Here is a 22964-nt window from a genome sequence, read left to right as displayed (position 1 = left end):
CATCCCTTTAGAAAAGCAGCTTGAAATCCAGAATGTTAGCATATAAATTACATCCAGGTGTGGGTGAGATTCCTAGGATGCAGTTCCTTAAAGTTCTTCAAGTACAGTTCCTCTTAGTGTGAAGACCTGTGAACTAAATGCAAGTTATCTGCCTCCCACTCCTCCCCGACACAAAAATACAGTGGTGGACAGGTGTAAAATAACCACTGTAAACATTCCTGTTCAAAAAGGGAAAAATGAGAGGCAACAACGAGTCTGTAGCAATTCCAAAATCCAGCCAGGCAAATGTTGAAGTTCCTTGATCCGGATTCAAAGACTGAAAATAATTCCCTATGGCTCTTGATGTCACCTTGTGGGCAGTTCTGATTTGCGAGTCATCCTTCCTTTTTCATGAAAGATAGTATCCCTTTCAGTTCATGCTGGCAGTGTTTCTGCTGTTAAAGACTGTGTTGGTTCCTTGTTAATCTTACTGAAGTTCATGCCATTAGACAAAAGCCACTTCCACACATCTCTTCAAGATACGCTCTATTGTTTGAGAGGGTTTGTCAGTCATACTGTTAAAATATTTAGAGGACATTTTGTCTGATTGAAAGGTACTCTAAGACACCACAATAGATCTTTCTGAGGTCTTAAGGGATTTTATAATTACAACTTGGGTTTCCTATTTAGACCATGTTTTCCTGGGGTTGCCTGGACTTGATTTCTGCCTGAAAGCCATACTTTTTTTTTTTTTTTTTTTTTTTTTTTGAGACGGAGTCTCGCGCTGTCACCAGGCTGGAGTGCGGTAGTGCAGTCTCGGATCACTGCAACCTCTGCCTCCCGGGTTCAAGTGATTCTTCTGCCTCAGCCTCCCAGATAGCTAGGATTACAGGTGTGGGCCACCACTCCCAGCTAATTTTTGTACTTTTAGTAGAGACAGGGCTTCACCATGTTGGCCAGGCTGGTCTCAAACTCCTGACCCCAAGTGATCCACCACCTTGGCCTCCCAAAGTGCTGGAATTATAGGCATGAGCCACCGCGCCTGGCCAACAGTCCTCCCTTTAGCATATCTTGCTCTGCTCACATGCTAGAAGTCACCCTGAACACTAGCTGGCAATCTCCTTAGTTAGATAACAAATTCTCTTAGGTGGACACATCTACTTTCCACATTACTGCTGGCTACTGTGTTGCTAATCTTTCTGCCATGGCATAAGAAGGATCTATTTCTCCAGTTTCCAATAATATCGTCCTCACTCTTTTAAAGTGAGTCTCTTCAAGCCTATACCTCTACTAAAAGCCTTTTCAAGGTACCTCATGCTTTCACTAACCCTATCTTCAATGTCATTCCAGTTTCTGTCCACTGCCAGATTCCAAAATCACTCCCATATTTAAGGTGTTCGTTATGGCTGCATCCTACTTCCAAGTATCAGTTTATATATCCCAAGGATTATTTATCTATTGCTGTGTAGCAAATTACCAAGGCTTAAGATATGTACAATTCAATGTTAGTAGATAGTGCCAATTTTTCCCCCAAAAACGGCAACAGTGTATGAGTATCCATTTCTCTACAACCTCATTCCACATTATTAATCTTTTTCAATTTTGTAAGTTGTTTTAATTTACACTTCTTTGATTACTTGTGAAATTGAATAAAATAACCATTTTATAACTTCTACTAAGAACCTTTTTTGCCCTTTGTGTTGTTTTCTTTTCTCTAGTGATTTGTATGGGTGATTTTTAAATGGAGTATCCATCTGTGCTGTATATTACAAATATTTTCTCCCTTTCTGTTAATTTTCTTTTACCTTTATTTATGTGGTATGTTGTTTTACGGTAGCTTTTAACTTTTTTTTAGATCAAATTTGTCAGTCTTCCTTTTATGGTTTTGGGATTTGTCCTGATTAGGATTCATGATCATTCAACGATGATAAAAATTCCCTTTTTTCCCCAAGGCTTTTATAGTTTTGTTTTTGAATTGTATGCTTTATTCCAGCTGATGTTTATTTTTGTGCATAGTTAAGGTAAGGCTTTTTTTTTCCCAAATGGCTAGCCAATCATGAAAATGTCATATATTGAATAGGCTATTCCTCACTGATTTAAAACATGTTGTATAGTTTCTTCTAAATTTTCTTAAAGCTGTATAGTTCTGATGAGGCTCTTTATTCTGTTCTGTTGGTCTGCATATTTCTTTCTGGGCCACTTGCTATGCAGTCAATATTGCATGGTATTTATTTATTTATTTATTTATTTATTTATTTATTTATTTATGAGATGGAGTTTCACTCTTGTTGCCCAGGCTGGAGTGCAATGGCACGATCTCAGCTCACTGCAACCTCCGCCTTCTGGGTTCAAGTGATTCTCCTGCCTCAGCCTCCCAAGGAGCTGGGATTACAGGTGTCTGCCACCATGCCCAGCTAATTTTTTGTATTTTTAGTAAAGACGGGGTTTCACCATGTTGGCCAGGCTGGTCTCGAACTCCTGACCTCAGGTGATCCACCCTCCTGGGCCTCCCAAAGTGCTGGGATTACAGGTGTGAGCCACTGCTCCTGGCTGCACTATTTAAATCGTTATAATTTTGAGTTATGCTTTGATATCTTGAAGAGCATGCACACACATTGTTTTATTTCTAAAATTTCTTCCTATTTTAAATAATTTTTCCTTCCACATACAGAGCGATATAATGGACTGTGGAGACTCAGAAAGGGGAGGGTGGGAAAGGAGCTAAAAAAACTACACATTAGGTACATTGTGCACTACTCAGGTGACCAGTGCACTAAAATCTCAGAATTCACTGCTATATAATTAATCCTTTTAACAAAAAACCACTTGTACCCCAAAAGCTACTGGAATAAAGCATAAAAAATAATAATAAAAAAAGACTTAATTTGAGGTAGTTTCTTTGGAAAATAATTCCAAAAAGAAGCAGTGACAGTGGGGAGAGCGAGACAGGAAAGGAAGAAGATTAAATAAAGACCTGTTATGAAGGTGCACTGTTGAATTGCTGGTGTTGGCAAAGAGAGCTGAACTTGGCATGGACCTCTGAGAGTAGTACCAAAAAAAAAAAAAAAAAAAAAAAGAAGAAGAAGAAAAGAAATGCAAACTGTTTAATAGAATGCAATACAGCTGTCCTGCCCCAATAGAATCTGAGAGTAAAACTGATATTTATCATATTTCTCCTTTACCACCAGAGAAAATGAAAATATCTCAGAGCAGTCTGACCTATGTGAAATCTGCAGGCCCAGAGAGGCAAGAGTTTGGAACTTAGTCATGCAAATGTGTAACTGGCCTCCCTTTATGCTTGGGGGCAATTGTTTATTTTGTTTTTTTCTAGCTGCTTCATTCATTATCTTCATGTTTCTGGAATTTGTGATGCAAAGAACAACGTATGCTGGGTGCGGTGACTCATGTAATCCCAGCACTTTGGGAGGCTGAGGCGGGTAGATCACGAGGTCAGGATATCGAGACCATCCTGGCCAACATGTTGAAACCCCATCTCTACTAAAAATACAAAAATTAATGGGGTGTGGTGGCGGGCGCCTGTAATCCCAGTTACTCGGGAGGCTGAGGCAGGAGAATGGCATGAACCCAGGAGGTGGAGTTTGCAGTGAGCCGAGATCCCGCCACTGCACTCCAGCCTGGGTGACAGAGTGAGACTCCGTCTCAAACAAAACAAAACAAAACAAACAAAAAACCAGAGAACAATGTATAGCCAATCAATAGCTTATGTTATTTTAATGTAAATTCTGGATAAACAACTAGGAACTGCCCCTTCTTCCACCTTCCCGCACCGCTCCCCTTTTTTTTGAGAGAATCTCATCTGTCATGAAGGCTGGAGTGAAGTGGTGCAATCTCAGCTCACTGCAACCTCCGCCTCCCAGGTTCAGGCACTACCCCTGCCTCAGCCTCCCGAGTAGCTGGAATCACAGGCATGTGCCACCACGCCCAGCTAATTTTTGTATTTTTACTACAGTCAGGGTTTCACAATGTTGGCCAGGCTGGTCTTGAACTCCTGGCTGAAGCGATCCACCCACCTTGGCTCCCAAAGTGCTGGGATTACAGGAGTGAGCCACTGCACCCAGCCCCTTCTTGCCCTTTAAAAATTTGCATGTGGGCATGGTGGCTCATGCCTAAAGTCCCAGCACTTTGGACTGGCACTTCAGTCCAGAAGCTGAGGTGGGAAGATTAATTGCTTGAGGCCAGGAGTTTGAGACCAGCCTGGGCAACATAGTGAGACACCGTCTTTACAAGAAATAAAGTGCACTTGTAACTGTTCGTAATCAGAGTGTATATTCAGGGCAATTTGAATCTATGCTCCTGGGTTGCACTACTCAAGCTTGGCCCAAATAAACTCCTCTACTTGTATTAATAATAATAATAACAAAAATAATTTTTCCTTACATATGAAATTAAAGACTTGATTGACAAGGTCCAAAACAAAAAACAAAAACTGCTATTGATAGGAATTGCATTCACATTATAGCTCAATTCAGAGAAAACTGACATCTTTGCCATATTGGGGCTTTCCACTTAGAAATACTTTCTGTTAATTTATAAAGTTATTTTATGCTTGTCACCAAAGTCTTATACTCTACCTAGGTCTTTCACATTTCCTGTTAGGCATGCTTCATTCTTTTTGTTGCTGCTATTCATAAGATTCCCTCCCCACTCAATTTCCTCTGAGAGATTATACAAGAATGAAGTAGAACTTTAGGTGTTGGCCTGGAGAGATCTTTCCACTTGCTGCTTATACCACCACCTCACCCCCCGACCCCAGTCAGCTGTGGAAACACAGCTAACAAAGTCATCTTTGTAAAATGTAAAGTCAGTCATATCACTTCCTTGCTTAAAACATTTCAATGGCTTGTTCCCCATTGTCTTTAGAATAAAATATAGGATCCTTAATATGGCCTGCACAGTGTGGCAGAATCTGGCATCTGACCACCTCTCTGACCACATCACTTGCACCCTCAGTTGTGTGCTCCAGGGGCAGTGACCTTCATTTACTTAAATCCACTGAGCTTTCTCCTCCCTCACAGAATGGCCTCACATAATAGCAAAATGAGGAGGAGAAAGAGAACTAGTGGAGCCTCTTGTTGCTCTTTGCTGAGCACTTTTTTATGTATCAACTGACAAAGACCCTCTCTTGACCAAACTTTAGTCAGGCTCTGAGACCTGACTAAGCCTCTTCTGGACTAGACTTCGACTTTGGCCCCCATTCTCCCTGGACCTCCATAGCCCAGTTCTAGCAAGAATCCAGATAATTAGTTTAGTAAGAATCCCCCACTGTTGATATTTAATTGCTCTCGATACCTGATTAAATTTCTCATCCCCATCCTTGATGTCTGATCACCCTGGCCTGCCTTCAGCAGGAATCCTCTTACCTTTGATGGTTCCTTTTAATAAATTGCCATCCACTGACCCCCTCACTCTGCTGGTTGCTTATAAATTTCCAGCTGTCTTTGCAATATTCAGAGTTCAGCCTGATCTGACTCCCATGTTGCAATAGTCTTGACACCTATTGGAATAGTCCTGAATAAAGGCTTCCTTATCATTTTGACAGGTGTCCAAATAATTTTTTCTTTACCACAACTTATTTAGATAATATCCTCACAATATCTGTGGATCAGCTAGCTATGGGAAATGAGGAAAAGAGGAATTTAGGAAATTTATCAGATTTCTAGCTCAGACTTACAGGTAGATAATCTATCAGTCATTCAATGCTTAGTTACAGAGAACTGAGAAAATAAATAAAATTTAGAAGCTTTTTGGAACCTCCAAAAATGCCTTAAGCCTTGACAGAGATGTGACTGTGATCCGCATCACATATGCTTACAACTTCTGTTCTCAGATTATAGATTAGCTTACTTTCTTATTTTTCTCATTCTGTATAATGACTAGAGATAAATAAATGGCATCTGAGATAAAAACCTCCTTTCTTCTTCTTCTTTTTTTTTTTTTTTTCTGAGACAGAGTCTTGCTCTGTCTCCCAGACTGGAGTGCAGTGGCGCAATCTCAGCTCACTGCAAGCTCCGCCTCCCGGGTTCACGCCATTCTCCTGCCTCAGCCTCCTGAGCAGCTGGGACGACAGGCGCCTGCCACCATACCTGGCTAATTTTTTCGTATTTTTAGTAGAGACGGGGTTTCACCATGTTAGCCAGGATGGTCTCGATCTCCTGACCTTGTGATCTGCCCGCCTCGGCCTCCCAAAGTGCCGGGATTACAGGCTTGAGCCACCACGCCTGGCTGAAAACCTCCTTTCTTCTTAATTGATGACCTTGGACTCTTGTTATAGATTTAACTTCCCCTTTGTTCTAGTTTGTTTAGACCAAATGACAAACAACCAATGATTATTACACCCTCTGTTAAAAAATGTCAAATGTACCCTTCTCAAAAAGAAACATGGCCTATAGCCAATTAAATTGCTATAAGAATGTGCCAGACTCACATGAATAATAATGTTGTAATTCTGCTAAAAATTCCTCTGTTCCCACCTATACAAATGAAATATTTACTTCCCTGCTTCTGAATGCCAACTCCATTCCTTTGGAGTTGGTGTTTCTGGGTGGTTCATCCTCACACTTTGAGTATAACTAAATTCTGACCCTTTTGATTATTGTAGATTGACAGAACAGAATCCACTCCAGCTAGCTTTAGGAGGAATTAACTAATTACAGAGTATCGAGTGGCTCACAGAATCCTTGTGAGAGCTGAAGAACTTGGCTCTTGGCTGAAATTTCTTGAGTAACTGCTCTTGTCATGACCAGGAAGCTGCATGCCGGATGGAGAAGCCTCTGCTATAGGTGCTAACTCTAGAATTACACCATTTCAGCTCCAGTCTACACAGCAAAGGGATACGTCATGCCCTGTCTCAGTCTCCACCTAACTCACTTCTGAATTCAAGGCTCATGCAATCACATCTAATGAGCAGAAACTAAAGAACATGGAACCCCAGCAGCAAGGGAGTCTGGGAAGTGTAGTTGCCAGCCTCTGTTCTACCGGAGGACACACTGGGAGGAGGGGAGATGGATGGATGCCTAGTGAGCCACTTCAGCATCCCCATGGACAGTGATACAATTTGTTGAGGTGGGTGGACAGCCTAGGACCTGGGCAGACAAGCAAGCAAAGCTGCCTAACTCCTGCAGAAGTGGGAACATTCTGTGGCAGGGACGGAGCTCCTGAAATTAGATGATCACATTTTTCTACTCTCATGACATATCCATAAGCAACCCGAAATATTTGTGAATTCTGTCACTGCAATTATGAAAACTGAGATTGAGTGCCATCTGGCAAGGGGGAGCTAAACTGGCCTGTCCAGAAGGGCAAGAAGACGGCTTGGAGTTAAATCTGCTCTGGCAACTGGCAAGCATTTCTCCCTGCTTTGCTAAAATTAGCCACAAAAACAACTTTCTCTTCCTTATCTATTAAACAGTGCCATCTGGTGGGAATCCACACTATCTTGTTCCCCAATTCTCTACCTTTTCTATTAATGAATACTATTTATATAATTTGGGTATTCATTTGATCTGTTAATGCAGACCAAGTACCAAGATGCTAAGAAAAAAAAATCTGAATCCATCTGGAAACATTTTGGTGACCAAAGGCTGCTCTGATGCCACAAGAAGCAAACCTTCTAAGGTTTCTAAATCCAAAGTCTCCAGACTGGGGGCAAAGTTCATGTTGGCAACTGCATGTCTCCTACCCCTCTTAAAAATAGTCCTTCTTAACCTTCCTTCCACTCTCTACGATTTGTCTTGTATATGAGATGATGGAGAAAGCTGAACCGGGAGGGGACTGGGAAATGTAATAGACAAAGGACTTAATTTGACGTGTGGATATGAACAAGGAGGTGTGACAGGACATCTCTCAGGGAAGCAGAAATGGCACTAGCTACCCAGTGCAGGGTTTGCTAAGAGGGCATTGCTGTCAGTTGGCATGTCAGCCTGCCCTCTCCTCCCTTTTAAAGAAGTCTAGAGAGAGGTGGGGAGTTTGTCTTCGTGAGAGAGAATGTTCTTGGGGGCTAGGGATTGGAATTTGGTTCTGCTCTCTGTCAGAGGCATTCAGTGTGGTCTATAGCTTCAGAGGCTGTGGATCTGACTCTGGGGCATGGAGTGAGGGCTCACTTCTCACCAGGACTTACAGGCAGGCAGCTGGCACTGGTGGAAGTGCTCTGGGCAATATTGGCACGAAGAGCTGTGCAGTGTGCAAAGGACCAGAAAGCTCAGCTGGAAGCCTCCAGAGGCAAGTGGAAAAATAACTGCTTTTTTGTTGAAGATATGCTGGTTAGCTGAGGGGACACTGGGCTTCCCTGGAGGGCTGCCCTATTGGAGCAAGGAGTACATTCCCTGAAGGGCTCGCAGTGTGTACCACAGGCAGGGAGATGGATGAGGGGCATGTGGTGACCACTTTGACAGTTCACAAAGTCATGACGCTAGAGAGGGGTCAGGGTGGGGGCTATTGCCTGAGAACAAGCATCACATATATCGGGATAGCAGAAGCCTGGATCAGACTGCAAGCTTTGCAGGAACAAAGCACACAGACCTCATCAGCCCAAATTCCAGTGTGAGGCACAGAAGCAGGAATAACCAACAGCAAACGAGTGGCCGCCACCTATTCTCACCAAGGCGCCGGTCTCCATGTGAGGAGAATACTTTCCTAGCATTCACCAAGGAGTCCTCCCATTGCAGACAGACAGAATCGGACACCCAGGAAGCATCTCAGGTATCATGGGACCTGGGATTTTTAACCTCACTGTGCATCAGGCTCATCTTGAGAGCTTTGAAAAAAATATCAGTGTTTGAGTTTTGGCCCAGATCTATTAGAAAAGAATCAGCAAGTATAAGATAAAATTTATTTTTACAGTTTTACTGAGTGTGATTGACATACAATAAATTGCCTATATTTAAAGTATACAATTTGGTAAGTTTTAGATACATGGCGGTGGAACCATTGCCACAATCAGATATTGGACATACCCATCACTCCCCTTGTTTCTTCAGGCCCTTTTGCAATCTCCCCGCTTCACCCTTCTCTCCCCTCCCTGCCCCTGGCCCTACCTTCCATCCAGACAAGTACTGATCTGCTTTCTGTCACTACAGGTTAGTTTGCATTTTCTAGAATTGTATACAAATGTACCATATGGCTTTTTTTTTTGTCTGGTTTCTTTTACTCAGCATAATTATTTTGAGATTCATCCAGGTTGTAGTGCGTATCCACAGTTTATTCCTGTTATTGCTGAGTAGTACTCAGGGTGTGGAATTTGTTTATCCATTTACTAGTTGATGGACCTTTGGGTTGTTTCCAGTACTCAAGGGTTCAGTGGACGTAAGGTCTGATGAATACATAAGATTAATGAGGAGACGATTATTATTTTTATGGGTCTTGGAACACTTTGTTGCCAGTACTCTTGTGGCATTGTTGTCCCTTACTGTAGTTGTTTTTTTACCATCAGTCTTTCTGTGTACCACCCTATCCCTTGAGGATAACAATAATACTGATATAGGACTTTTCTCGGTCACTTTGCTGGCTGAAGACTTCCTGTCAGGAGACTTCCTGCCAGCCTTGCTGGGACCTGGGATTGCTGCAGAGATGCTCTGTCCACTTGGCCTCCTGGGCTGCACCCGGCCTGCATTCTGGTACAGATCCTGCAGCCACCGTGACTATGTGCTTGGCCCCTGGTGGGAGGGGGTGTGTGAGCGAGCAAGTGCGGGGTCCAGCCAATTGTTCCAAGCAGCACAGGAGCAGGCTCTGTGTGGGTCTTGTGGCTGGACCAGGCGTGTTGCAAACCACTCCCACAGTGGACTCCAGCATCTAAACAAGAGGAATGCAGTGGCGCCCGGGCAGGTGCACCCATGACCCCAAAGTCCCAGAGGGGGTGTTACAGAGTGCTAATTAGCTCTTTTAGTCTTGCCATCCACAGCCTGACTGACAGCATGTTAACAGTTCTGTTAGCATCTTGCCCCACCCTGGCTGGCAGCTCTGGGGGCTGGCTTGGCCCTGCTGCTACTTCCTGTTACATGAGGCAGCTGCGCTTCACTGGCGGAGGGCAGAGGGCCACAGTAGTACAGCCTTCTGTGTATTCGCATTTGGTGGGTCTTGGGTTCTTGTTTCACCTCTGAGAAGAATGAAATTGGGCTGACAATTGAAGGGCGAGGAGGGTGGAGAATAATTTTATTGAGCAATAAAATAGCTCTCAGCAGAGAGGGGACGTGAGGGTGGTCCCCCGCCTGAAGTTGATGGTTTCTCTCAGTGTGGCTGAGTCCAGGGCTTTTATGGGCTCAGAATAGGGAGTGTGTACTGACTGGTTTGTGAGTAGGCAAAAAAAAAAAAGAGGCTAAAACAAAGGCACCACTCACAGGTGGGCATGAGAGTGTACAAAAAAAACCAGTTAGGGAAGTGTAGGTATATGTAAAATAGGTGAAGGGTGGGGATCAATCAGAGGAAAGTGCACCAAACAGGAAGAGAGGTTCTCAATCAGTCCATGGATTTATGCAAGACTAGTACCTTGGCTTTCAGGCTTCAAACTCTCTTTGGTTTGAAGGTCAGGTTTCACTGGGGACCCACCCCTGTCTGCCTAGGATTGGTCTGCCTCCTGCTGCTATCAACACGTCTTCCACAGTTTTATATCACTTATGGTATTGCACATGGGAAGTTCTTGTTAACCTGGGGCTCCTGGCCTGTCTCTGCATCGCCCACTACCTTCTAGTTCTTTTTCTCCCCAGTCTCTTACTTATTTCCCCCAGTGTTCAGCCAAATTGAGATATGACTTTTCATTGTCTTATGAGGCCCTGAACTTCCGTTTTGCTGTCTTTATGCCAAGACCACACTGTCTTCCCTGGAAATCCTCCCTCTCTCCTCTGCCAGCCACTTGGCACCCTGTATCCCTAGCTCTGCTTGTCAACATTCTACAGTCAGCATGGTGCTGGTTTAAGAAGAGGCAAACAGATCGATGATGTAGGATTGATATCCTGATATAGATCCTATTCAGTGTAAAAATTTAATTTATGCTGGAGGAGACATGACAGATCAGGGAGAAAGAGAAGGATTTTCAATAAATAGCAAAGGAAGAATTGATGAGTTCCCTAGGGAAAAATCAATTTAGATAATTATCTCAGTCCTCCCAAAATTAATTCCAGATTTATTGATAAGGTAAGTTACTTAAAACCTAGAAGAAATTGAAAGTGCATATTTATCAAATCTGTGGTAGAAGGAGGACTGTCTCCCTTTTAGCTTAGATTTGAATAATGCTCATAACTGAAAAAAAAAATAGTTAAATTAAATTTTGTATGTCGAAAAAGTAACCTAAATTTAAAGGTACTCTTTGAACTTTAAAAAATACCATGGCAAACACAGCTAGTGATGGCATAGTATATTTACTATATGAAGTGCTCACACTTTGGAACCAGCCTGGCTAACATGGTGAAATCCCATTTCTATTAAAAATACAAAAAATTAATAGGGCGTGGTGGTGTGCTCCTGTCATCCCAGCTACTAGGGAGGAGACTTGCTTGAACCCGGGAGGCAGAGGTTGTGGTGAGCCGAGATTGTGCTGTTGAACTCCAGCCTGGGCAATAAGAGCAAAACTCTGTCTCAGAAAAAGGAAAAGAAAAGAAAAAAATGCCCGCACAAACCAATAAACATTCTGTAGAAAAATGGACAGAAGACTTGCATCCAAATAAGGAAATGCAATTGTTTAATGAACATAGAGATGAATGTTTAGTCTCAGTTTCTGCACTTGAATATGTGTACAGTTTAAAAAAGGAGACACAATCCTTCATAGACTAAATCACTCAAGATTGGAGACCATCAGAACATTTAATGAATTACACTATAGTTACCTATTCTTGATCATGACTTGTGTTTCTTTGTATCTTGATGTGTCCACTGCTTATAGCAGGAGGTCCCTGGGGGCTAATAAAAGCCACTATTTTTACAGCCTTGCTATATAGCAGATTCTTTACACACAGTATCTCAAACCCTTATAACAACGCTGCAGGGTACATAGGACTGGTCTTGTTTCACACATGAGGAATATGAAGCTCAGAGAGGCACTACTAGGAAGTCTGAGAGTCAGGATTTGAACTCCACTTGGCCTAACTGCACATCCTATTCTCTTGCCACGGGGGCCAGGCTACCTCTCTGAAATTCTCTTACATAGCAAAGAAAAAGTTAGCTTCTGCTGTTGCAGCCTGAATCTGCACTGCTTTTCCTCCTCCACCGTCAGTCCTGAAGATATATGAACAAGTTATAAAAAAACAGAACTGAAAAGAGAAAAGCAGAATTCAAAATCAAAGAACAAAGGTGCTGAGAAACACACACACACACACACACACACACACAAACAAAACAAAAACAAAAAAACAAAATAAAATAAAAAACCTAGCTGCTGGAAGAGGCGTATGGCTGCAACTCTCCTGAAGCCCTCTCCCAGGTAAATGTTTCTTGTCCCTATCAGGTAATCCAGTCTCCAAATGGATCACAATTAAGGCATTTTATGGCTGGATATTGAAGAGCCAGGCTCTGTCACTTTATGGAGCAATAGGACAGGTTGTCTGTCCCCTGAGAACCATTTAGCCCTTCCCAGTCTTACTCCTTGTGGACAGTGGATGTTATATAACCTGTGTGGTAATTTATGTTAATATAATCTATTATAGACAGTGTGATGGGGTGATGGCGGCTAGTATTTGAGGACCCCTTAATCAGGAATCCACACTTAGGGATGATTAGTGACTCTGAAGTGCCCTAATCAAGAAGATGCACTCCAGAAGTACAGATTTGAATACTGTTGTTGAAATCTAACGACACGGGGTTAGGGAATGATTGGATCAGTTAGCGAAATGCAAGTTGAAATCTGTGGCTGACTACAAAGACTGTACCAGCCCTGCTGCCCTCATACAAGCAAACCCAGCAAGCCCAGCCCGAGCCTTTGCAGCAGCACTTGACTTCTGGACATTCACTTGACCCTGTCTTCTCCCACTTCCCTGTGGACTCTGTCTCCTGACTGAACTTGAAAACTGACTAATTCTGTGGTTAGAATATTTTGTTCCTCCTTGGAGTGAAGCTCTCAGGCAAAGAATTGTTGTAATGCCTGAAGAGACAGATGAGACCTTTCCCAAACTCACAAGAATGGACTGTATGGTAATTTTTTTTTTTGAGAGAGTTTTGCTCTTCTCATCCAGGCTGGAGTGCAATGGCGTGATTTCGGCTTACCACAACCTCTGCCTCCCGGGTTCAAGTGATTCTCCTGCCTCAGCCTCCTGAATAGCTGGGGTTACAGGCATGCACCACCATGCCTGGATAGTTTTTTTTTTGTAATTTTAGTAGAGCAGGGTTTCTCCATTTTGGTCAGGCTGGTCTCGAACTCCCGACCTCAGGTGATCTGCCTGCCTCGGCCTCCCAAAGTGCTGGGATTACAGACGTGAGCCACTGTGCCCGGCCAATAATTTTTAAATTAATACCTGCTTGTTAATAAATATTGGCAGAATGTGGTGTCAGATTCCCTTTCACTGTAATATACGCAACCTGGTAGCAAGGTTGTCAGGAAGAGGATCTATAGACCCTACTGTCTCTAATGCCAGAGGCTACCAGCATTTACAAAAATAGCAACATAGAAAAACTAAATTCCCCAACACTTGCTGCTAGACACATTGACTTAGATGAGTTTTCAGTGTGGCCTAAGAACACGTCTCCATTATGTTCTGAGAGCTTTTCCCTATATATATGTGTGTGTGTTCTCTCTCTCTATATGTGTGTGTGTGTTCACTCTTCTAGCTTCAGAAGAGTGAAGCTAGAAAAGGTTCTGCTCCCCTTTCTAGTCCCTATTTCTGCTCTGAGCAGGTTGATTGATAGAGGGAGAGAATTGACCATGGTGAGGTGCCTTCTAATTAGCGGCAATGACTGTGGCTGCCAAGGCCAGCTCTGCTAATGCCCCAAGGCTGCTGCTCTGCAGTGTGGGCAGGGCCTCTTAGGGCTGTGACTTTGGGGGCAGCAGGGAGTGGGGGAGTTGGGGAAGGGATGGGGAAGCGGCACCTGCCCCTGCTGAACTTGATCCTGTTGTCTTTATGAGAACAAGACTTCCAACTGATCCAGGTGAGAATTTTGCCAGCTTGCAGACAATGACAACCAGGCCTCCAATCAGAGCCAACCTGGGCCATTTTCAATGTCACTGCCAACTTGACCTACTATTATGAAAATTGCTCCAATTACGTGCATACACATTTGCATGTGAAATGACAACTAAGTGCTTGCCTAAGAGGCAATTTTTGTAAATGAAGCCTGGGGTTACTAAAATAGGGTGTTTTGTCCTTTGTTGGTATTATTTGTGACCCATTGAGATGACAGCCTTCCTCAAGCATTGCCTTGTGGCCTGTCATAAATTACTTGTCCCTCAAATGCTTTCTATGGTTTGCAGTCGAGCCCCTGGAAATAAATGGGCTTCAATCATCAGTTTCAACAATTCTCCTGTCTCCAAGTAATAAAACATCTGGAAAATTGGGCTAAATGGATAAAACAGTTCTCTGTAATAAGTATCTGGCATCTGTACAACTCTGTATAATGCATTTTTTTAATGACCAGATGTGGTACTTCTGTGTTATAAAGAACAGAGGCATGTTTATTCATGCTTTTTATTGCATTTAAAATGCAAGGTATATTTTCATAGCTCCCCAGAGAAATGCTCTTCCATTGACTGAGAATTGTTGATGTGTTGGTTTATAAACTTGAAAAGTAAGGGAACCACTCAGAAAATTGCAGATATAATTTAAACAGTCATTAAACTGGACACTCACAGGGAACTGGCTTAAAAAAAAAGAATTCGGTATATAAAATTTCCCTTCTCTCCTAGTGAATTTGTTCCACAGAGTCTTTGGTCTTGCAGTTGTTTATGTTCTTATCTGTCTTCTGTAATATTTATAGCTTTCTGAAGATATGATTTCATCAAACTTGCTATTCACTTCTTCCCAGTTTCTCATTAAGAAAGCTTAGCTGGTAACCCACCTGTGTAGTCTCTATTTTTATAGTCCTTTGTAGGTTTCCAAGAAGATGTTTTTAACATGTGTGTGTAGGAAAGCAGGGGCATGGGAGATGCCTAGAACACTGTCCACGGGGCTGCTATTGCACAACTCTCCTCCTCCTACACACACACACACACACACACAGAGAAAAGTGTGCGTGGGCATGAGGACATGTATAGATATCCATATGTATTTTTAGAAAGTTAGGAAAAGAAGTACAAAAAAGAAAATTTTAAAAATCCTATGGAATTCTATTCAGTTATAACCACTGTTTACTTATGTACTTTTCATTTTACAGAATTTTAGCCATGCTTCCTATATTGCTTTGTCACTTGCTTTTATCACTGCAAATACCAGAAAACTTTTTCCTTTTATAAAATATTCTCTTAAGTTATGAGTCTGGATGGATTAATTTTTATTGAACCACTTTCTTATTTGGGGACATTTTAAATTTTCAGACATTTTCACTACCATAGCCTGTGATAAATATCTTTATGTGAAAATCTTTTTGTAGACCTCTGATTCGTTCTTAAAAGTAGAATTACTGGATCAAAGGGCATGAGCTCTTATTTTTGAGTCTGTTTTAGTATGCACTGTCCCAAATGCGCTTCTCCAAGGGCGTAATGGGATATGTCGTGCCCTCCCACAACGAGAGTGTGAGCATCCTGTTTTCCTGCAGGTGCTAGGTCCTCTCATTAGGAACAGTTCCATAGTAAAGATATTCATCCTCTTCCTGCCCTATTAATTGCCATTGTCTCCTTAGCTTGATACTTGCCTCTTAACTTGGACGATGAGCTGGAAAATTTTATTTGTTTTGCCAGATTTTTTTCCCTCTCTCCCTCCTTCTGACACTCTTCAGAAGTCTTAAACTTCTCTCTGTAACCCTTTCCTTTATGGAGTCCTTTTCAGTTTTTAAGCTTTCCCAGCTTGAAATCAGATTATCGATTTCCACTTTTCTTAAATTTGTTTTTTTATAGTTCATTTTTATATTTAACATAAATCTATCCAGAACTGATTTTGGCATACTACATGAAATGGGAGAATGTAATTTATTCTTTTTTAAATGGTTAACAGCGCCATCTATTCAGTATTCTCTCTCTCTCTGTTTTTTTTTTTTTTTTTTTTTTTAGAGATAGAATCTTGCTCTATTGCCCAAGCTGGAGTGCAATGGCACGATCATAGCTACTTTGATCTTCATCTCCTGGGCTTGAGTGATCCTCCCACCTCAGACTGTGTACTGAATAGCTGGGACTACAGGGGTGCACCACCACACCTGGCTAGTTTTTAAATTTTTTTTTTTTTGAGATGGAGTTTCACTCTTGTTGCCCAGGCTGGAATGTAATGGCACAATCTTGGCTCACTGCAACCTCCACCTCCCAGGTACAAGCCATTCTCCTGTCTCAGCCTCCCAAGTAGCTCGGATTACAGGCATGCGCCACCACACCCAGCTAATTTTTTTTTATTTAGTAGAGACGGGGTTTCACCATGTTAGTCAGCCTGGTCACAAACTCCTGACCTCAGGTGATCCACCTGCCTCGGCCTCCCAAAGTGCTGGGATTAGAGGCGTGTGCCACCACGCCTGGCCTAAAGTTTTTTGTAGATACAGGATCCCACTATGTTGCCCAGGCTGGTCTTGAAATCCTGGGCTCAAGCAATCCTCCTGTCTCAGCCTCCCAAGATGTTGGGATTACAGGCATGAGCCCCCACGCCTGGCCCCAATATTCCATTTTTAAGTAATCCATCTTTTAAACGTTGAGAGTGTAGGTTATTTCTCTATCTGGGTCTTTCTTAAATGTATTTATTTTCACGGATAATTCACTAATTTCTTTCCCCTTGATCTATATGTAATGGATAGGATTGATCTATTTTTGCTGATTGCAAATCATAATTCTGCCTGACTTTGAAACCCTTGACTCCCAACAGTTCTGTTTAGAAACTAATTCTTTTCCATTTTGCTCCTAGCTTGCCCATTGTATTTCAACATGGTATGAATCTCCATTGTGCAAGCATCTAAAGTCTTAAGCCTAAGAGCAGTCAGGCAGCACGTGATTAGAAAGAGGTCATCTTTTGCCAGGCACGGTGGCTCATGCCTGTAATCCCAACACTTTGGGAGGCCGAGGCGGGTGGATCACCTGAGGTTAGGACATAGAGACCAGCCTGACCAACATGGCAAAACCCTGTCTCTACTAAAAATACAAAAATTAGCCAGGTGTGGTGGCGGGCGCCTGTACTCCCAGCTACTCAGGAAGCTGAGGCAGGAGAATCATTTGAGCTTGGGAGGTGGAGGTTGCAGTGAGTCGAGATCGCACCATTGCATTCCAGCCTGGGCAACAAGAGCGAAACTCCGCCACCGCACTCCACCCCCCCAAAAAAAAGGAAAAAGAAAGAAAGAGGTCATCTTTGTAATTAGACACTGACTTTAGGTCTGTAGCAGATGCCCATATGCGTTCTTGGGTCTTCGTTTACTGAGTTCTAAACTGACAGAGAAGCTATGACTTGGAAGTGTGTACTTTAAAAAGTACTTATTTTGTTAAATCTTGCAGATAGGTTTGAAGAATTAAAAAATCCGTATGATGGTGGTGGGGAGGGGAAATTACTTAGGTCAGCTTCAAAAAGCCTGAGTTGGATTCCTCACTTAGCCAGTTTAGTAATTGTTTAGCCTTGGGGAAATGGCTTAAATTCCTCCAGGTTTTGTTTCCTCAGCAGTAAAATGAGGTTTGTTTCTGCTCTAGGACCACATCCTTTACAAAAAACCAAATTATAGCTGGTTAATACATTTCTGGAAAGGTGTTCAAACTCAGAGATAAAACTGTGCATATTAATATAATAATAAAATATGATTTTTACCTATAAATAAGCAAATGTTTCTTAAAATGCTTACTCCATGCTGGTGACAGTGTGGTCAAAGGGATATTTTGAGAATGTAGATTGGTACAGTCATTTTGGGAAGCACTTTTGCAAACAGCACCTTAAAACATCTATTCCTTTTGGACCAGTAGCTCCATCTCCAGTAATTTATTCTAAAAAAATTCACCTGAGATATAGAAAAAGAGTTATACATAAAGATGTTGATCAGAGAATAATTGGTAGGAAGCAAACCTCAACAATAGGGAGAATGATTAGCTTATTACATTTTCTAGTAGCATAATTCATTTACATTTTTGCTTAAATGACACTCACAGAGTAACTCAAAACAAAATGGGCAAAGAAGCATTTCAATTATTAGAAATAATTATGGAAATTATACTGTGCAATCATGAAAAATGACAGTAAGAGTAGCTGAATATCCTGAGAAAATATTCATGTTATAATGTTAGGTGAAAAACTTCTGAAAATAAAATTGTCTAATGAGTATTACCATGTCTGTGCACAGCACAAAGACTGAAAAAAAAAAGCTTAAAATCATGGTGGTTTTCTCTGGGGTATGGAGGATTTCTTTTTTTCTTTCTGCTTCTCTACAATGAACACATTTATTTAATGCTCAGCTAAAAGTAAGCCTATTTTTTAAATGAATGTTTGTTCTTTGAACAAAAAACATTCTGGAAAGAGTATCTATTCCTCTCGTAATCGTAGGGTTGTCATAAAGATCAAATAAGGTTGTCATGAGGACAAACAGGTCATTTTGTGAACCAGGAAGCACTTGGTATTTGGCTATATGTGGCCAGGCTGCTCAAGACTCCTGCTTAATTCAAATCTTGGAGTAAATGTACTAGGAAAACTCATTTTATGAAGAAAACCTGCAGTATGGAAAATGAACTATCCACTTAAAAAGTTATTGATCTTTCAATTTGTTTTGTAGGTTTGGAATTTTACGTATTGGATTTCCTTTAAGTAGAACTCAGTTTCAAATATAAGTCATGCAGGCCAGATGTTCTGGCTTGTACCCTTAATCCCAGCCCTTTGGGAGACTGAGGTGGGAGGATCCCTTGAGGCCAGGAGTTTGAGATCAGTCTAGGCAACATTGGCAAGATGAAAGAGAGAGAGAGAGAGAGAGACACACACACACACACACACACACACACACACACACACACACACACACACAGAGAGAGAGAAAATGAATTCATGACTTCTTTGTTGTAACACCACTGTCTTCAATCAAAAGGTCCTAAAACAATAGAAAATATTATTTAAAAAAATATGAGTCATGCTGTTCAGGACTAAAGGAGTAAAGATTTCTGAAGATAGAGGAAGACATGGGTCCCCAGCTGGCTTGCCTCCTGTTTTTCCTGATTTTCCTTTTCATTTTTGTTGATTTCACCCCATTCTCGTTCTCAGTCAGAGGATAACTCTTGATTTCAAGGACTGTGGATTTCGATTTATGTTCAGCTTCTGGAAGGCTAGGGTGATCTAACAAATGCTTATTACAGAAGCAACTGGCCTGTGCTATAGCTCTGGGCTTGTCATCCCAAAAGCCAGAGAGGCAACTTCTCAGCAGCCCCCGACGCCCACAGACATGTGGCTCACTGTGGCTCCAGCTGGTGCTGTCTGGAATGAAGGGTGAAGGCCACTCTCTCTCTCTCTCTATCTCTCTCTCTCTCTCTCTCACTGACCCATGGATTTCTTGTTGCCATGTTCCCTTTACAAGTGAGATGCTGTTATGCCCGGTGTCTTTTTCCTATATTTTTGCTTTCTCGAGTTGATCTTTTTCTTCCAGTCAATGCCTTGTCTTTCTTACTTGTCTGTAGTTGCTTCTCTGGCTTAGCTTGGTTCTTCTCGAATGGCAATTTGTGTATCCCCAGGGATCAGAGGCCTCTTTGATGAGATCTGTGAGCACTAGAACATTTTTTATGTTTTTTTTCCAGTGGTAATCAAAATATGATTTTACCAGTCATAAAGGCAACATTTTCTTAGAATATGAGTTTTGTATTGGGATTGCATTCAGCTGCTGCTAGGAAGAACAGATACAACCAAGGGTAGCTTAGGCAAACAAGTTCTAATTCTTCTCATTGACTGGGATTGGGAGCATCTGGAGTGGGAGCTGATGGCTCCATTTAGTGGCTTGATGATATTATGGCTGGTGTCCCTGTGACACTCTTGTTTTGTCCCTTATAGCTACAAGCTGGCTGCCACAGCTTCAGGCATCATGACCTATGTTTGAAGCAGGAAGAGGGAGAGAGGTGGCATCAGCCATATCAGCCTCTTTTAACAGAAAAGCAAAAATTTTCCCAGATACCTCCTAGCAGGCTTCCTTTTACATTTCTTTGTCACAAGCTGAGTCACACAGCTACTCCTCATTAAAAGGGAGGCTGGGAAATCAACTGCCTGGTAACAGGAACAGGATTGTAATCGTTGGCTTTGATCAATCACAAGTCATTATTTAGGGCTGAACATATTGTTTGGGATACAATTAGAGTTTGGCTATCAGGGAGGAATGGCTGTTGGGCATGAGATGAGTGAGCCCAGCTAAGTTGAGAGTCCCTGCACCCCACTGTCCTCCTCTTTCTTCCTTTTCCAAATGTCCCTTTATTTATTCATTTATTTTTTTTACAAAGATTAGGGTCTCTCCTCTCCCTTTGCTTCTTGCTGAGTAAAGGTGATGATGTCCTCTCTGCCTTTGTCTCCTAATCCTCTCCATTCCATCAGTTATAGACAGAGCATTTCCCCTCACCCTCCCCTTCTGCCCTTCATCCTCAAGGTGGAAAAGAACATTATTTCTACGCTAAGAGTTTGCTTTGACTTCAGAAGTATGATACTAAATTTCAGATATTTAGCAAAGTTTTAAGGTTTAAATTTCATTTATTCTCATCAAAATTCAATTTCCTGGGTTGAAGAAGAGCACTTCATGTGCAATATTAGTTTTTGCTGAAGTCCCCTAGAGTTAAGTGTTGGCTGATTGAAAAGATAAGGGAGAAAGAATTTAGCAAAATCCATGGTTTTTCCCAGAGCAGGAATGAGCTGGGCTTATTCTCCAGCTCTCACGCTTACCTTTCTTCTATTGGAGGCCCACCCCACTTTTTCTCCATATTCACATCTTCTAAGAACCTTCCCATCCTTCTTTACACCTTCTATTTTTTCTTTCTACTTTCATGTCTGCTGCTAACTGACTCATATTTCACTACCCTGCAATAACTTTGAGTTTAGAATCACCTGTGGCTTCCCCGCTATCATTTTTGTAATTTCCCTGAGACAGACAAGTGGCCTTGTCTCCTCCAGGATCAGCCCTCCACCTGCCCTGCACTGGGGATTGTGTGCTGTCCAGCGTGTTTCAAGCTTAATGTGCTCCTGGCCCTGACCATGGTCTATTGGGCAGACTAAGAAATCAGGCACTGCATGTTCTGTTCTTAGTTTTGCCATGAACGCTGTGAGGTCTCAGGCAGGTGACTTATGGTGAAAAATTTATACATCTCTGGGAAATAATTTCAAAATTCAGTATTCTCAAAGTATGTTGGGATTACTGATGCAAATATCATATAAGTACCAAAGACAAGTTTTTTTTTTCCAGTTTTAAAAGTCTCTTTTTCCCACAAAAGCTTTTAAATGTGATATAAAGATATATTAAAATGAAAGTTAAATGCAAGGAGAAAGCTACATATTGTACTGAATTGAAACATATTGGAGCAGAAGCTCCAGTCTTCTCATGGTGTGGGGATATACCCACAGTTAGCCAAACTGTGAGGCTCAAGGACATAGTACCTAAGATTGGCCTTACTTCTGACACCAACTGCAAGTTTAGAGGGTGGGTTCCCTAAATCATTCTCAGATTTGAGAATTCACTAGAAGGACTTCAGAACCCACCAAAAGCTATTATGCTCCTAGTTATCGCAGGAAAAGGATACAGATTAGGATACAGATTAAAATCAGCCAAAGGAAGAGATGCATAGGGCAGAGTTTAGGAAGGTTCCAAAAGTGAATCTTCTGTCATTCCTAGGACACATTATTTCCCTGGTACCCAAGAGTGATAATACATAAGGGATATTACCACCCAGGGAAGCTTACTTGAGCCTCAGTGTTCAGGAGTTTTATTGCGGCCCCGAGACATATGCATGACTGATTGATTGATTGATTGCCCACCTAGCTGATCTTAGCCTCTAGGTCAACTGATACCATGTGACCCAAAGCCTCTACTCTCAGTTACATAAATGGCCTCTCTGGTGTGACTGGCTCCATCCTAAGATCTGGTGGGTCCAGGCCCTGCCCTAAACAAAGAAAGCAGCTCAGGGCAAAGGCTGACCTGTCTTTGGGCAAGGCGAAATTCTTTACCATGCAGAATGCTTTGCTTTTTAGTTATTATTGACATCTGTGGTGGTGCTTCTGGGAGAGTGCTCAGTAAGAGAGGCCATCAGGGACATTCTGGAGGAGGAAATGTGTTCATGGGTGCCAGCCTTCAAATGCAGTTGCTTTGAGGCCCATTTTCCTTCTCACCAGGAATGCCCTCCTAATGCTGGGAGGCACATGTGCTGAAGCCCTCAGTGCTGCTAGTTCCCAAAGCTCACAGACATCAGACGTGCTGGCAAGGCAAGGGCTCTGGGGCCTTCAGTATTTCAAGATGCCAGTACCCTAGGGATTCACAGGCAGTAGACATTTCTGGAAGCTGATGACCTGCCATCAACTAGGTCACAGTCTGTGAACACTTGCACTGGAGATTCTTGGGAGCAAAGGCTTAGGGGATTCAAAGAGACCAAGTAGCTTGAATCGGAAAGTGGACTGAAAAACCCGGACTTCATATACAACAAAAGCGTAACATAGGCTGTTATATACAACAAAAGGGTAACATAGGCTGAGATCAGAAGACGCCACATGACATGTGAGGCACAGAGGCCACAACAGCAGCAAAAGGAGCATCTAGGACACAGAGATCTTTAGAAACCATGTGACTACACAAATAACAAGCGTCAAGTGTTCAAAGGAAAACACATTCTTATTTAAGGGTTTATTAGCTTTCTAATAAAATTTTGATGAATAGCTAACTCTCCATTCATTTTATTTAACAAATATTTTTTGTGCATGAGGAATCAGCCGAGAGCAAAATAGACA

At 42.1% G+C, this 22964-nt stretch overlaps 1 protein-coding gene across 1 annotated transcript in view, besides 1 other annotated feature; it reads right to left on the bottom strand.

Annotated features, from left to right (window-relative positions):
* HEXB (hexosaminidase subunit beta) overlaps nt 1-22964 on the bottom strand; it is an 81266-nt gene that overhangs the window by 40743 nt on the left and 17559 nt on the right. The gene's annotated exons all lie outside the window — the stretch shown is intronic.
* Nucleotides 2232-2410: a silencer, noted in NCBI's record as "fragment chr5:73973961-73974139 (GRCh37/hg19 assembly coordinates)". NCBI's record gives its function as "represses an EF-1alpha promoter that drives an FKBP-Casp9 reporter gene in an ReSE screen in K562 erythroleukemia cells {active_cell/tissue: K562}" and the evidence as "EXISTENCE:reporter gene assay evidence [ECO:0000049][PMID:32094911]".

This window comes from Homo sapiens, chromosome 5, assembly GCF_000001405.40.
Source record: "Homo sapiens chromosome 5, GRCh38.p14 Primary Assembly".
In the NCBI taxonomy this organism is placed as follows: Eukaryota; Metazoa; Chordata; class Mammalia; order Primates; family Hominidae; genus Homo; species Homo sapiens.
This window is presented reverse-complemented; position numbering and strand designations above follow the sequence as displayed.